Source organism: Homo sapiens, chromosome 2 (assembly GCF_000001405.40).
Source record: "Homo sapiens chromosome 2, GRCh38.p14 Primary Assembly".
NCBI lineage: Eukaryota > Metazoa > Chordata > Mammalia > Primates > Hominidae > Homo > Homo sapiens.
In genome coordinates, this window is record NC_000002.12 from 21,461,815 (window position 1) to 21,479,300 (window position 17,486).

The window sequence follows — 17,486 nt, forward strand, 5'->3', positions numbered from 1 at the left end:
ACAAAGTGAGGGATCTCGGGGAGACTTCACATAGAACATGGGACTTCAATAGGGTTCTGAAGTATGAGTAGTGGGTTTCAACACAGAGACAACTTCGTGGTACAGTCAGTCACGTCAAAGAGTTGGAACTAGTTTGGCACTTGATACAGTTTCACTTCTCTTCTTGTCAGTCCCTACAGAAAGGCAAGAAGCCTGAAGTGTCAGACAAATGAACAAAATTGTGAAGGGAGCCTATTTATAAGGTATAAATATGAAATCAAGACATTTGGCTATAGTAGAGATAATTTTCAAACAAATCTATGCACTTACTCCATTGGCATAGCTTATGTTAAAACTGTCTGTGGCAACTAAGTCCTGGGAACAACTCTTCCAAGCCTATTTTAGAGTTATTTGAAGTCTCATTTCTGCAGAATAGTGATTCTCAACTGGGAGTCTCTATGAGAAACTCTTAGGAGATTTTAAAATGCAGATACTCAGGTTTTATCGCAGCTCTACTGCATCTGAGTGTTAGGAGTATGTATCAGAATCACCTGTATGTAAATATGATCCTACTTGCATACAGGTGATTCTGATTTTTTTTTGGTTACAAATCATTGTTCTATAGCAGAGTTGACAAACTTTAGCATGCATCAGAATTACCAGGAGACCTGTTAAAATATAAATAACTGGGCTGCATCTTCTAGAATTTCTGATTCAGTAGACATAGGATGGGGCCCAAGAATTTGCATTTCTAATACATTCTCAGATGATGCTGATGGAATGTGGCTGGTCTGAAAACCATGCATCTTAGGTACTGCAAACAAAAACTATCAGAGACAATATAAATTACATAACAGTGTAGCTTGCATATATGGGTTACAGGTTTTCTGAAAAGAGGGGAGGGCACTAGATTTGAAGCATGGAATTTAGGGTGACTATGCCCTCATCTTTTCACCTCCATGCACAGGGAGGGCCAAGACCTCTTTCAATCCCTGCTGGTTATGTTCTGGGGTAGCAGAGAACAGTCTGGATTTTAATTGTTTTCAGCATCTAAATATACAGATTTCTCCCTATCGAGAAGAATGACTGAAGGCAGCTCCTGTAGAGAGGTTCCCGAAATGGTCAAAGCTCTGCCAGACTCATCAGGATAGGTCTGTAGCCTCCCTACAGGGTTCCTCTGAAGAGGACATACATACATGGAGGCAGGGACATACTGAGATCAGGGTAATGGGATCCCAACGAAAGGGAATATCTTATCACTGACATTGTTTAGAAGTGCTGGCTCATGCTAATAATAAAAAGCAGGCTGAAGTTTTTTTGGTCTGTTTTATTATTGTTTTAAAATTCTCTACAGACGATATTTGCCTTTATTATTTACACCTGTGGTGGACCTTTCCCATTGTTCTGGCCTTGATATGCTACGGCTTGGAGGCACAAAGGTCTTTTTTTTTTTTTTTGTAAGTTATCCACTTTATTATGGCCACAGGTCACTATTCTTCAAAGGATCAAATAGAAACAGGCTTTACAGAAAAGGAATTTCCACAAAGTCCCTGGAGATCAAAGACGTCTAATTCGTGGACATTGAACATTCTGTCAATTCTTCTGTGAGGCAGGGCATTCAACTGAAGCAAAACAGCCTCATTTTCTCAAGACAATAAGAAGAAAAGAAAAATAAAACCTGAGATTCAAGCTAGTGCTGTCCTTCTAAGTCTGAGAGCCTCTTACCTTTTCGTTGCAGTGCGTCCTCAGACATATTGTCTCATTTTGAGTCTCGAGAGCTGTATTTTATGCTGGGTGTCACGGGAAAAACTCATCCCGAGAAGGCAGAGGAATTAAGACAGAGAAAGTTTTAGAGCATTACATATTGGTCTGTGGCAAGGGAGCACTTGACTGAACAAGAACCAGCCAGATGCAGTGTCTCCAAGGTGCATCTATAATAACTTAGGTGGCAGTAATTTCCTAGGAGATTGGCATAATTATACCCAAACAAATTGCCTGAACAGCCACATATTTATTAACATGAGATTAAAACTCTCAAGTTTGAATAAACCCAGAGAGCAACAGCGGTAGCAAAAGCAGTAAGGGCCATTGGCAGTCTCTCTAACCCCCAACATGAGGGGGCTGAATCAGAGCCAGGGTAGGGGGTCTAGCCTGCAGTAAGGCTTCTGAGGCCTCAGTAGTAGGTTCTTGCTTACTGGAAAGGATGGAGGTTAATATAATAGGATGTCAGAACTCAGAATCTGTATCACCTAACTAATGTGCAACTAATCACTCTGAAACTTTGTGGCTTTAAACAACAACCATTTATTTACTTTTTAATTTAGGCTGGATTCAGTTCTGGTCTCATCTTATTCCTTTTGTGTGTCTGCAGTCAGCTGCAGGTCAGTTAGGCAGTGATGCTTCCAGGGTTGGCTGGCTGTTGGACAGGGCATTAGGCTGACTGCACAAGTGTTACCAGTCCTCCAGCAGCTGAAGCTGCGCTTAGAAGCGTTGCACGCAAGGCCTCAGGAAACCTAGTTCAGAATCCACACACCATCATTCCCACTAAATTCTCTTGGCCAAAACAAGTCACAAGGCTAGCCCAGAATCAAAAGAAGGGGAAATAAACTGCATTTCTTGATAAGAGAATATGTAACTTCACATGACTAGTGGCATGAGTACAAAGAGAAATGGAGGACTGTGGACATTTTGAAATCTACAAAAAAACTCTTAAAAAACAAAACAGAACCAGAAGTGAGGCTGCTGCTGGCAAAAGTAAACAATGAGCATTCAAGTCGAAGATATCCTAGATTCTGTATTTTTGTTCAGTTAAATTAGGCATGCATTTATTAAGCAAGTTTTATAAGCAAGATACTATATTAGGGACTCTGTAGGGAAGACAAGGCTAAAAAGAAGGAAAATAAAGATATTGGTTCTGACTTCCAGAAGCCCACACTGTTGTGGGAGAGACAGAAACAGACAAATGTCTGCACGATCCCCAATATTCTGATATTTTACAATAATAAATATGAGAAAGGAAGGGTTTAGATAAAGGAGCATGTAGGGGGATGAGCACGGTGGCTCACGCCTGTAATCCCAGCACTTTGGGAGGCCAAGGTGGGTGAATCACGAGGTCAAGAGATCGAGATCATCCTCACCAACAAGGCGAAATCCCGTCTGTACTAAAAATACAAAAATTAGCCTGGTATCGTGGCAGGTGCCTGTAGTCCCAGCTGCTAGGGAGGCTGAGGCAGGAGAATCGCTTGAACGCGGGAAGCAGAGGTTACAGTGAGCCAAGATTGCGCCACTGCACTCCAGCCTGGCAACAGAGTGAGACTCTGTCTCAGGAAAAAAAAAAAAAGGAGCATATACAGGTGTAAAATTACATAATTGTTGCTGTAAGGACTGGACAAGAACAGATAGGTGGAATTGAACGCACCTGAGTGATAGCCATGCTGAGGTGAGTCAAGGAAGCCTGGAGTGGAGATGTCTCTCTAGTGAAGGTAAGATATTGGAAGCAGGCAGACAGACATCAATGTGATTTAGCTGGCTAAAGGCTCACAGAGACATCAGGTGAGCTCAGATTTTGATCAATTGGCTTAATTTACCAGCCAGCACTTATTTGATGGTGAGACGGATTTGAATGATTGGAGGACAAGAAGCAATAAAACTGGTAACAGCTGAGATGGAGATAGAGCAAAAGCTGCAGAGGGATTTGGGTAGCTGAAAATCAAACAAATACAACTAAGATCCTTACTAACAAGTAGTTACCAGTGTTCTGGGATTAAGTGATTGAACTGTGGCTAGCTTATATAGATTCTGGCAAACATATGCCTACCTTTTGCATTGTTTTTTTTGTTGTCTCCTCCATAGAGATTTGCTGGGTTTTCATATTCCAAGAAAGACTCTGGCATTTCAATACAGGTATGTTGGTTGTTCATGGCTTTTTCTTCCAAATTAGTTGCTGGAGTGGTACCAAAACAAGTATCTGCATGCTTTTTGTACTTGTGACAATTACTGTTTAGCTAATTTCACATATCTCAGGCCTTATTGGTTCATGTCATAAAAAACCTGATATGTTAAAAATATGTCTTGTTCTTGGCATGCCATGCATCTGTGTCCATGCTGCGAAATTTAGTCCCTCTAACCCTGTAACGGAGTGTGATTCCTTGAGCATTTCATGGGGTCAAGCTCCCCCTGTTTGGCCATGGTGAGGCGTACACAGTGGGAAGTGCATGCGTGTGGAAGGAGGACCCTCATGTTCTGGTATGAGGGGCAATATAGAGTGGTTATCAGATCAGAGTCCCTGAGTTCCGACTTCCCTATTCAAATGAGGGCTCTCTCATGTTCTAGTCTCATAATTCAGGACAAGTTATTAGGCCTGTCTCTGCCTCAGTTTTTCATTTCTAAAACAAGGAAAACAGTAACGTATGGTTCTGCAGTTTGTTGTGAGGTGATGCATATAAAAGTTGTAAAAGAAAATAAAAATTCAGGACCCTCTAAATTTATTATGCCAAACAGGAAGTTAAGCCCTGAAGACTGAGTCACGTAGCCTGTTTGCAACGTTGCTTCTCAGATTATAGCTTAACTCTCCTCCTCAGTGCTCCTGTTCTATAAAGGACTGGGAGAGACCAGAGACCAGACCTCACCACTTCCAATCTTCCAACCTTTATTATGATTAACTGCCTCCTTTATTGTCCTCTACCTAACTCAGACCAGATGATACCCAAGACCCCATGACAGTTACATCTTGAGTGTGCAATGTTATAATAAATATACCTTTCCTGAAAAAACAAACAAACAAAAAACAAGATCATCTCACCTAATCAGATCATTTGTAACTATGCATTAAGCCTCACATAGAAGATGACGTTGAAATTCTTTTAAACTTCTCTAAGCCTTGTTTATATAAACAATTCCAAACTTCTGCACTTTGGAACACTGCCATTGTTTGGAATCTGTGTTTCCTGGGTTGGCTGTCCTCAACTTTGCACTTGGATAAACTCTCTTTAAAATAAATCTTACCACTTTTGATTATTTGAGGTTGATAAGGTCTCAGAACAGTGCTTGGTGCATAGTAAGAACTAAATAAATATATGTGATGAACAGTAATAATAGGAGTATCCATTCCTCCACTACCTCCTAGGCTGCTCTGTGCCAAGTCTTTTCCATTAAAATGTACTAAGCACTTACTGTGTACCTTGCATTGCCTATAAGTCATAGAGATGAACAAAATATGTTTTCTGTTTTCAAGGATTCATTAGGGGTAAAAAGGAATATAAATGAAATGAAATCAATATCAGGCAGATGCGTAATATGCTTTAAAGAGGTTGAGACAAAATGCTGAGGCAGCACAGAGGAGGGGAAGAACAGACCAAGCAAGGCTAAGGATGTGGCATTTGAGCAGGAAGATGTTTAGAATTAGGCAGGCTGTGATGAGTTGGGGACCGAGATGGAAATGGGAAGAGAAAAGTCACTTCAATGCTTCCAATTTAAAATGAGAAAATTGGTCCATATAATTTTCAGTTGCATAAGAGCTCTAAAATTCAATTCTATGAAATCATGCTTTCATTCCTTGATGAATATATGAGAATTCTGTAAATGAGTTATTGCATCCAAAAATTTTGGCTGCTGGGCATGAAGTTTACCCAGTATTCACAGCAAAACAGATTACTAGTGGAAACTTGAATTAAAAAAATGCTGACACACTAGAAAATATAATTTGTACCCAATGGCTTGAAAAAAAAATTACCCAGTAATTCTGCAGTTACTAAATGGGGCCTAATGGCACTTCCGTTTTTCATGTTGGCATTTCAAGGTTGTTCTGACAAAGCTCACCTGGGAAGAAGGGCTTTTAGTAAAATGGCAAGACACTGCTTCCTCTGATGTCTCAATTGAAACTAGTGCTTTCAAATCATTTAGATGCCATAAATGGCAGTGCCCTTATAAGTGAAGGTAGTGGTTTGCCAATTTCATTGTCTACAAGTAATACCTGGGGAGTCTGAAAAACAAATGCAAATTCTAGGAGCACTGCTGGGAGCAAAGATTCTGATTCAGTTCTGTTGGAGAACCCAAGAATCTGCATTTCAGCAAGAATAATTGACGACTCTGATGCAAGGGTTCTCCAAGGGGCACTTCATGAAACACTGTTTGTGTTTCATTTCCACCATGGCTGGAGTTGCCCCAAAAATGGTGACAGGGAAATTCCCAAAAGAGACTGCCCCAAACTGTCCCAAGATAGGGTCAGTTGGGGTTCTAAAGAAAGAATTTCTAAATGCCAGAGTGATGAGTCAAAGTCATTGGTTAAGGGGATTTACATACAGTTTGCTGCAGCTGTCCTCCCAACAGACAGGAGGAAAAGAGCTATTCTACCCAGGTATGTCCACAATGAAGGGGTCAGGTCACGGAGTTTATATAAAGGTTTAAGGAATTTGGCTCAGTGTGCATGTTTAGCAATATGTCTGATTTTTCTGTATTTCAGGTAACAACCTAAACAAGTTTATCAACGCCTAGGAATGTTCAGGGCCCTGGCTTGGGTTCAAGCCTGCAGGAGAAAACATGTAGCTAGCCAGGCCACAGAATGGTCAGGGTACTCTGTTTTTTTCTATCAGGACAAAGAAAGAAAGTAGGGTTAGGGGGGCCTAAGGGAACCTATGTACTGAGTTAAGAATAAGGTGGAGTGGCTTGTCCAAGTGTCCAGCGTTACACAGAGTGGCCATTAAACCAACATGTGTGCTCAGAACATCATTTCTCAGTTCAAAGATAAACTTGAGAACAAAATCTTTTCAATAAGGTGAACCTTGAAGAAAAATAAATTTTAAGCTACTTAATCACAGACTTAGTGTGCCTTGCTCTCAGTAATAATAATAATAATGAAATAGAAGTCTAGAAGAAAAATCCCCATCTAAATCCAGTTTCAAGCTTCTCATAGGGCATTAGGACAGTGTGTGTAATGTAAAAATCTTACTAGACAAGAAGGCACACCGGATGCTGGATGCTGTGTTATAGATGGACGATTTGCTAGAGGGGAAGGCATTGGCAACAGTGTGAGCCCTGTCTCTGAAGCAAGTGCTAAGCCTAGAGCCAATCAGCTACTCTAGAGAAAAAGGGCGTGACTGTTGCTTCAGAGGCATTCCTTTTAATGATAACTCAATTAGTTTTAATGGCAGTGCCTAAAAGTGCCTTATAAAACTGTTCAAGGTGCCTTCTAAAACCTACAGTTTAACACGAAATTGAAAATGGTGAGAAGTTTCAAAGCATTGTGCAGTGTCATATTGGAGTCTGGAAAGAGGTAAGTTTGTATCTTTCTAGGAGTTTTAACTGCAGGTCTATAGGAGAACGTGTGTCTGTTTCTTTGTCTAGGCTGGAGCTTTAAGAAAGAATAGCCAAGGTTAAGGGGTCAGATTAAGGGCAAGGAGAGCAGGCAAGGGAGGGAATGACCAGCAAGAGGCAGAGAGAAGTCTGGGAGGCATCATTACCCCACTTCCCCCAAAGGAAAAGGAGAAAACCTCTAAGAACTGGCTGCTCTTGTGGGAAAATGCAGTCTGTGCAATTGCTCAGGTTTTTTTTTTTTTTTTTTTTTTTTTTGCCATCACTGAGCTATTCAGCACTATCCAGGAGCAGAGAAGTTTCAACATGCTGTTGACAGCTAAGCTATCCTTGTTTCAAAAAAACTCCCTGTCCAAAATGTCTACATAAGAGACATCGTTTATGAGAGATAAAAATGCCTAGATTGATATTTGGAGATCCCCAACTCATGGTTGTTCGAAATAATGACTTTAACACAAAAATAGAAGATGAAAAGATTATTTTCCATGGCGAACTCACTTTCATGAAAGTGTTTATGTTACGTATTTGAGGGAGATAAAGGATTTAAACTGTCAGGTTTTCTGGGCAGAATGCAAGCAAGTGGTGCTTGAACTGGGCCACTGAAACTGGATGGTTTTGTGGTGTTAACTCCTCTAGCCCTCCACCTCCTTAGGCTCTGTTTCACCTGGCAGCATGCTGAGCATAGAGCAATGCTCAGCGGATGCACTGCTTGATGGAGTGAGCTCCACTTGAGGATGGGGACTGCCTGCTCTTTCCTCCAGCCCCATGGGAGGCCTTGAAGACAAAACTATAGGGGAAGTGGCAGGGCAGACCAATCTCTAGTCCCAAGACGACTTTCCTTTGCATATTTTGTTGTTCTCTTGTCCACCTATGTCACCTTTGACTTTCCAAGTGTTTCCCATTGTTCAAGATCAGCTTAAAGCATTTTTAGACATCTTTTATCATGGTCTTTCATTGTCTGAAATGCTACAGCCCCTGGAGCTGGCATCCCACAATTAACAATTATATTGTCGATGGTTATATGTGATTCTGTGGTGGCTCCAGATGTGAAATCCTGTTTCCTTAATGACACTATAACTGTCTCCAGCAAATCAGCATCTGCTCTGCTGGGCTTAGTCAGGGCTAGACACATGGCTCTCGATAATTTGCTTTTTGGTTCATATCACTCATTCAGAGACTGAGGTTTGTCAGCCAAATCAATCATTACAAGGAGAGGCAGCACGTTACAGTAAAAAATACCATTGGATAAATGAATGGGGTTATGGGGTCTTGTGCTCCTACTATTTAACTAGATGAAAACCTTTGGATAGATCACCAGGGTGTATGTCCATCAGTTTTCTCTTCTTTAAAAATAGAATATGGCTTGTTCTGCACGCCTGTTTTGAAAATAAAAAAACAGAAGTGACAGAGACTTCTAGGGAAGCAAATCATTATACCAATGGGAAATATTGTTACATATTTGCAACATAGAGAAAGGGCAGCTGAGCTGGTCTGACCACTCTCTACCCAGATTGGAAACAGGAAACAAGATTTCATCTCTGGAGCCAGCAAAGAATGGTATATCTGTAGACAATATAATAGTTAACTGTGGGGTGCCAGCTACAGGGGCTGTAGGATTTTCAGACAATGAAAGACAGTGATAAAAGATGTCTGAAGATTTTGAAAAGGAGGTTGGGGAGAACCGAGAAAGAACACCTTCATGACAGAGTCTGCTGTCCTCTGAAACCCAGGGCTTCCTTTGTTGGTTGATATCTCTCCCGTTAGCTGATGGACACTTCCCTCTGGGAAATGAGTCTCCTGTTGAGACTCAGTAGGAATCTCAGTAGGAATGAGACACAGTAGGAATGTGTCTCTGGCCAGGCATGGTGGCTCAAGCCTGTAATCCTAGCACTTTGGGAGGCTGAGATGGGCGGATCATGAGGTCAAGAGATCAGGACCATCGTGGCCAACCTAGTGAAACCCTGTCTCTACTAAAAATACAAAAATTAGCTAGGCGTGGTTGTGCACACCTGTGGTCCTATCTACTTCGGAGACTGAGGCAGGAGAATCGCTTGAACCTGGGAGGTGGAGGTTGCAGTGAGCCGAAATTGCACCACTGCACTCCAGCCTGGCAACAGAGTGAGACTCTGTCTCAAAAAAAAAAAAAGTATCTAGCATATAAAGGTACGTAATTTCACTTATGCCACCTGCTTTCTTCAAGCCTCTTCTGTTTCCAGATGCCATAGTTTAAGACCATTGGAATGTTTAAAACAAAGCCAGAAAAGTCCCAGAGTCTCCTGCTGCAGAATAGAAATGGCACAGAGACCTGCTGCTGTGCTGGAGAGCTAGTTCTGCAGGAAGTAGATGGAAGAAATGTGTTCACTATGGGTTCCAACTGTCTAGAGAACAAAGGCTTGGATTTGGCTTAAGTGTTGAGATTTCCATTTTTGAAAAGGTCCTGTCATGAAGGCAGCCAACAGTGTAGTGGACACAAGTGGATTACCATGTTTTGGCCTAAGGATCTCACACAAGGAAATTCAGGGCCTGGGGCCACAATGAGGGTGTGAGGGGTATTGAGTGGCCTTAGGAATCTCTTAGATCTCTGTCCGTAAGGAAACCTAAGATGCTTTTGGAACTTCATAACCCACAGAATATGACATTGAAAGGTAACCAAGAATAAAAATGAGAGAGAAACTGGCTGAATATTCAAGAGTAATGAAATTCAGCAGTACCTGTTCACATATGGTAACTTGGGGACATTTACAGACTGCATGTTTGAAGTGGAAACTTTTTCCCAGAACAAGTGTATGGGAGAAATCTCAATCTGGCAGAAATGATATTGACTCTTTGGGATACATCCTAGTGGTCTTTGACTGAAGACATTTTGCTTTTCTATGATATGGGGCTAAAAGTTGCTTGCTAATTTCAATTACAGGCACATCCTGCAATGAACCAAGTGACAAATGTGGAAAGCTTTAACCTGTTTGCAAGGGATTGCTAGTTAAATCCAAACACAAATCATGTTCCTTATGGCTGACACTTCAAATACAGAGTCCTTCTGATGGTGCTTCTTAAAATAACAATTCAAGTGCTCAGTTTGTTCAAGAGCTGGTGCCTTACTTAGTACCATGTGATGCTTAAAATTTAGGCACTCTTATGACAATGAAAGGGCTACTAAAAAGGAAATAAACTTCTTCTAGAAGAAAATAGCAAATTCATGTGGCAGATACAATTAGTATATTCCTGTTACAGATGAAGAAACTAAAGCACAGAGAATAAAAGTATTTTGCAAAATTGTCCTGTGATGGCAAATTCTGTTAGAAGTATTTCCTTTACCACTCTTGATAAAGTTGCTGTTTATTGAATCAATGAAGAAATCTTGGGATTATCCCAGACAACTCCACCTCTCCTAGTAACTATATTCCACTAGTCATCAAGTCATATCAATTCATAGCTCAGAAAACCTTATCAGAATCTGCATGTAAATTATTATAAATAGTGAAAGAATTTAGCAGTATGGCTAGATAAATTTGCAAAGCCCCTGTATTTCCATATCCTTGACAATTAAAGGATAAAAAACACAACTTTCAAATATTACTTCTAATAATACTTTAAATAATACTTCTAATAACTAATACTCACATTAATTGAACATACTTATTATGTGCTAAGTACTCTGCATATATTATTTCATTTTATTAACACTACCAGTGTGTTAGTATGTTAACAGGGAAGAAAATTTGAAGGAACATATACCAAAATCTTATGGTGGCAGTCTCCTCATGGAGGAGGGATGGTATGATACAGATGAACTTCCTTTGTTCCATACTGTATTAATTAATTACAATAAGCATTCATTGTCTTTGGCATTAATAAAATGAAATTATGAAAAATTATAATTTTTCTAAAGATACTATTTAAAATGGCAACAAAAACTTAAAATACATAGAAATAAATATAAAAAGAGATATGGAAAACCTTTACCTAGGAAATTTTAATCCTCATTAAACAGTCTTTAAAAAGACCTAAATAAATGGAGAAACATGTAATGATCATGGATACATTTTAATATTTGAAAGATTTCAATTCTCCCAAAATTTACCTATAGATTCAATGCAATTTCAATCAAAATTCCAAAAGGAATTTTAATGCTATGTTATGAGGTTAATCTAAAATTAATATGACAGAACAAAAAGTCAAGAATAGGCAACCCACTCCTGAGAAAGAATAATCTGGGATGTTTGCTCTTGATATTAATATTAAGATATTATAAGTCTGTAGCAGTGGTGCACAATAGAAATGTAATACAAGCTACACATGTAATTTAAAATTATCTAGCAGCCACATTAAAAGCAAAAAGATGATATGAATCAAATGGATAATATGTATTTTAATAACACATTTAACCCAATATATTGAAAATATTATTTCAATATGTAATCAATACAAAAATAATTAAAAACATTTTATATACTTTTTTCATAAGTCTTTAAAAAACAGTATATATTTTACATTTACAGAATTTATCTCATTTTAGACTATCCACATTTCAAGCACTCAATAGTCAACAGAGCTAGGATCATAATAACACAAATTTATAGTATTTAAGCAAGTATGGTGTTAGGTCAAGGATTGACTTATTGGCCAAATAACCTCAAGAGAGAGCCCTAAACCCCTAAAGACATATGGAAGCTCAATGTTTGGAAGAGTAGGCATAGCAACTTACTATAGTATGTGTAGTAGGTGGTGATGGGGTAGTTGATCATACATTTGGAAGAAAATAAAATTGGATTTCTGTCTCATGTCTTGCACAAAATTTAGTTTCAGCTGAAATAAAGACTTAAAAATGAAATGCAAGCCTTTAAACATTTGGGAAAAAATACAGAAAAACATAGATTAAATATCATTATAACCTTTGAGTAGGGCCAGATTTCTTAAAACATAAAAGCATTAACTAGAGTGGACAATATTTTAATAAATGACTATACTAAATTTAAGAACTGCTGTTTGTTAAATTATACCATGAAGTAAATAAAAATACAAGCCACATACTGGGAAGATTTATTTGCAGCACTTATTTAAAAAGCATTATGGTTCAGAATACCTAAATAACTCCTAAAAAATCAGGAATAAAAATATGTAAAACCCAATAGAAAAATAAGTATTTCAGAGAACATGAAACACTAAAGGAAAATAAAAATGTATAAATATTCTCAACTTCATTAGTGATCAGGGAAACACAATTTAGGAATAGAAAATATCTCTTTTTTAATTTCTGTATTTTTAAAATTTTACTTTAAGTTCTGGGATACATGTGCTGAACGTGCAGGTTTGTTACATAGGTATACATGTGCCACAGTGGTTTGCTGCAGCTATCAACCTGTCATCTAGGTTTTAAGCCCCGCATGCATTCGGTATTTGTCCTAATGCTCTCCTTCTCCTTGCCCCCCACCCCCCAACAGGCCCCAGTATGTGATGTTCCCCTCCCTGTGCCCATGTGTTCTCACTGTTTAACTCCCACTTATAAGTGAGAATATGCGGTGTTTGGTTTTCTATTCCTGTGTTAGTTTGCTGAGGATGATGTTTTCTAGCTTCATCCATGTCCCTGCAAAGGACATGAACTCATTATTTTTTTATGGCTACATGGTATTCCATGGTGTGTATGTGCCACATTTTCTTTATCCAATCTATCATTGATGGGCATTTGGATTGGTTCCAAGTCTTTGCTATTGTAAATAGCTCTGCAGTAAACATATATGTGTGTGTGTCTTTATAGTATAATGATTTAAAATCCTTTGGGTATATACCCAGTAATGGGATTGCTGGGTCAAATGATATTTCTGGTTCTAGATCCTTGAGGAATCGCTGCACTGTCTTCCACAATGGTTGAACTAACTTACTGTCCCACCAATAGTGTAAAACCGTTCCTATTTCTCCACATCCTCACCAGCATCTGCTGTTTCCAGACTTTTTAATGATCACCATTCTAACTGGCATGAGAGAGTATCTCATTGTGGTTTTGATTTGCATTTCTCTAATGACCAGTGATGATGAGTGTTTTTTTTTTATTATGTTTGTTGGCCGCATAAATGTCTTCTTTTGAGAATATCCTTCCCCCACTTTTTGATAGGGTTGTTTTTTTTTCTTGTAAACTTGGTTTGGTTCCTTGTAGATTCTGGATATTAGACCTTGTCATCTGAATAGATTGCAAAATTTTCTCTCATTCAGTATGTTGCCTGTTCTCTCGGATGATAGTTTCTTTTGCTGAGCATAAGCTCTTTAGTTTAATCAGATCCCATTTGTCAATTTTGGCGTTTGTTGCTATTGCTTTTGGTGTTTTATCATGAAGTCTTTGCCCATGCCTGTGTCCTGAATGGTATTGCCTAGGTTTTACTCTAGGATTTTTATGGTTTTAGGTTTTATGTTTAAGTCTTTACTCCATCTTGAGTTAATTTTTGTATAAGGTGTACACCTTATTGAAAATATCATTTTAAATCCAATAGATTGTCAAACTTAAGAACTGTTATTCTATGTGTGGAGCAATGAGCAGTCTTCTATACTTTTAGAGTGTGAAGTGCTACAGCCACCTTGGAAAACAATTTGGTGGTATTTTTTAAGTAACCAATACTTAATGTATACTGATGACCTTGTGATTGTATCCTTGATGTATATTGGTTAGTTTGGAAGGCTATATGTAGAACTTTCGTAGCTGTGTTGTTTATAATCGTATGCAAGACTAATGCTATTGATAGGAAAATGAATGAATAAGGTATGTTTACATAATGGTCATTCTATTTTTAGTAGAGATGGGGTTTCACCATGTTGTCCAAGCTAGTCTCAAACTCCTGGCCTCAAGTGATCCACCAACCTTGGCTTCACAAAGTGCTGGGATTAGAGGTGTGAGCCACTGCTCCCAGCCCTAACAAATTTCTTAAGACTAATACAGAGTGCCACTATTTTTATAATACCTTTATTGATATATAATTCACATACTGTAAAATTTACCCTTTAAAAGTATACAATTCAGGCTGGGTGTGGTGGCTCACACCTGTAATCCCAGCACTTTGGAAGGCCGAGGTGGGCAGATTACTTGAGGTCAGGAGTTCTAGACCAGCCTGGACAACATGAGGAAAACCTCGTCTCTACTAAAAATACAAAAATTAGCTGGGTGTGGTGGTGTGTGCCTGTAATCCCAGCTACCCAGGAGGCTGAGGCAGGAGAATCGCTTCAACCCGGGAGGTGGAGGTTGCAGTGAGTGGAGATTGCACCAGTGCACTCCAGCCTGGGTGACAGAGTGAGACTATGCTTCAAAAAAAAAAAAAAAAAAAAAAAAAAAGTGTAAAATTCAGTGGTTTTTTAGTTGCAAATTTTATCATCCCTCTTCTGTCCTGCTGAACCTGTGCCCAGAGTTACTCTAAAATGGCAGTGGGGGTGTTCCTGCAAGGGATGTCCCTAAATGACCAAACTGTCTTTAGACGAGGCTGATTGGGATTCCAAAGAAAGAAGCACTAAATGCTAAGATGAATAACACAAAGCATTTATTATGGGAACTTAACATACAGAGGGCTGTAGAGTCCTTGCAACAGATAGCAAGAAAAGAGATGCTCTAAACTGGTATATCAGTAATGAGAGTTTATATGGAGTTTATATCAGGTTATGGAGTTTGTATCAGGGATGTCCAATCTTTTGGCTTCCCTGGGCCATATTGGAAGAAGAAACATTGTCTTGGGCCACACATAAAATAAACTAACACTAACGATAGCTGATAAGCTTAAAAAAATTGCAAAAAAAATCAATGTTTTAAGAAAGTTTACAAATTTGTGTTGCCACATTCAAGGCAGTCCTGGGCCGCCTGTGGGCCATGGGCCATGAGTTGGACAAACTTGGTTTATATGGAAGTTTAAGGAATGTAGCTCAGGGCTGGGGCTAGTTTCTATGTGTTTAGCAACATGATTGATCTTTTAATGTTTTGGGAAAGAATCTAAACACCTTTATCAGTGCCTAGGAATGTTCCAGGCCCTGGCTTGGGTTCAAGCCTGCAGGGGAAAACATGCAGCTGTCTGAAAGATAAATGGGAGGTGGGGGAACTGGGGGACACCACAGTCCCCAAAAGATATCTTATTATCAGTCACTATTCTTTTTCTCTCTCCCCATCTTTTAACAATCACTAATCTACTTTAGTTTCCATCTCTATGGATTTGCCAATTTTGTACATTTCTTTAAAGGAATTATACAATATGTGACCTTTTGAGTCTTACCTTTTTCACTTAGTATAATATTTTCAAGATTTATATATATGAGGCTGGGCACAGTGGCTCATTCCTGTAATTCCCAGCATTTGGGAGGCCAAGGCAGGAGGACCACTTGAGCCCAGGAGTTTAAGACCTGACTGGGCAACATAGGGAGACCTTGTGTTTACCTAAAAACTTCAAAAGAAGTAGCTGAGTGTGGTGCCATGTACCTGTATCCCTGCCACTTGGGGGCATGAGGCAGCAGGATTGCTTGAGCCAGGAAGGTTGAAACTGAAGTGAGCCATGATCGTGCCACTGCACTCCAGCCTTGGCAATGGAGCAAGACCCTGTCTCAAAAAAATAAAAAAAATCATATATGTTATAACAGGTACCAATATCTCATTACTTTTTATTGCTGTCATATCCATTATATGGATATGACATATTCTGTTTATTCATTTATCAGGTAGAAATTTGGGTTATTTGTACTTTAGGAATATTAAGAATAATATTGTTATGAACTTTTGTGAAAAAGTTTGGTCTTGACATACATTTTTCAGTTCTCTTGGATATATGCCTATAAATGGAATTGCTGAGTCCTAAGGTGTATTAGTCTATTTTCTTGCTGCTGATAAAGACCTACCCAAGACTGGGCAATTTACAAAAGAAAGAGGTTTATTGGACTTACAGTTCCACATGGCTGGGGAGGTATCACAATCATGGTGGAAGGCAAGGAGGAGCAAGTCACTTCTTACATGGGTGACAGTAGGCAAAGAGAGGGCTTGTGTAGAGAAACTCCCATTTTTAAAACCATCGGATCTCGTGAGACCCATTCACTATCATGAGAACAGCACAGGAAGGAAAGACCCATGATTCAATTATCTCCCACTGGTTCCCTCCCACAACACATGAGAATTATGGGAGATACAAGATGAGATTTGGGTGGGGACACAGAGCGAAGCCATATCATAAGGTAATTGCATTTAACGTTTAAAAGAACTGCCAAATTATTTTCCAAAATGGCCAAATCATTTAAAAATCTCACCAGTAGTATGTGAAGGTTCCTTACTCCACATCCTTAGCAGCACTTGCTATTGTCTGCTTTATTATTTGAGCCACCCTACCATGTGTGAAATTTTCATTTGGTTATAATTTGTATTTCTTTAATGACTAATGATGTTAGGCACCTTTTCCTGTGCTTATTGACACAACTATTTTTTCTAATGTACAAATTGAGTCAAAAGTGAAATAATACATTCTTTATATATTTATGTATATTTACATATTTAGTATCTATATACAGTATAATCATAAAATAAATTATATATAAATATAAAATATATGTGCATGTGTAAAATTGATAGGATAGTAGTTATCTGTGGAGGAAGTAGGTGAATGAGACCAGAAACGAACATGCAAGTAGCTTCAGTCATATTAATTAGGTTGTAATTCTTAGGATAGATTGGAGTTTTACTAGTATTCATTTTATTGTGCTTCATAACTTCATAACAAATCCTATCCTTATCAACTTGTTAAAAATATTTTCATGCACCTACAATGTGTCAGTTACCATTCTTGTGCATAGAAGTGGATATAACACCAAATGTGCTTGCATAACCACCATTTGTTTTAATTAAAAAATAAATTAAACAAACACAAGAAAAACTTTATCTTTTACCTCTCCTCTAACTCCAAAGGACTGGAAAATAGCAACCACTTTCAGTCTCCCTGCTTCTAAAACTTTCTCCTTCCAGTCCGTTCTCAAAACTGCGTCAACCTAAATAATAAACAAAGAGAGGCTCTCTAAAAGAAAATGATATTTATTCAGTAATGGACATTGCAATGGGAATACACATACCATAGTAAACTATGCAAGTGTTCAGGGAGGCAAAAAGAAGAAAAAAAGTTTTTAAAGCAAAACGGAGTAGGATTACATAATTGTTTTCAGATAATTATCTTTGGCTACATGGATCAATAACAAGGGAGGAA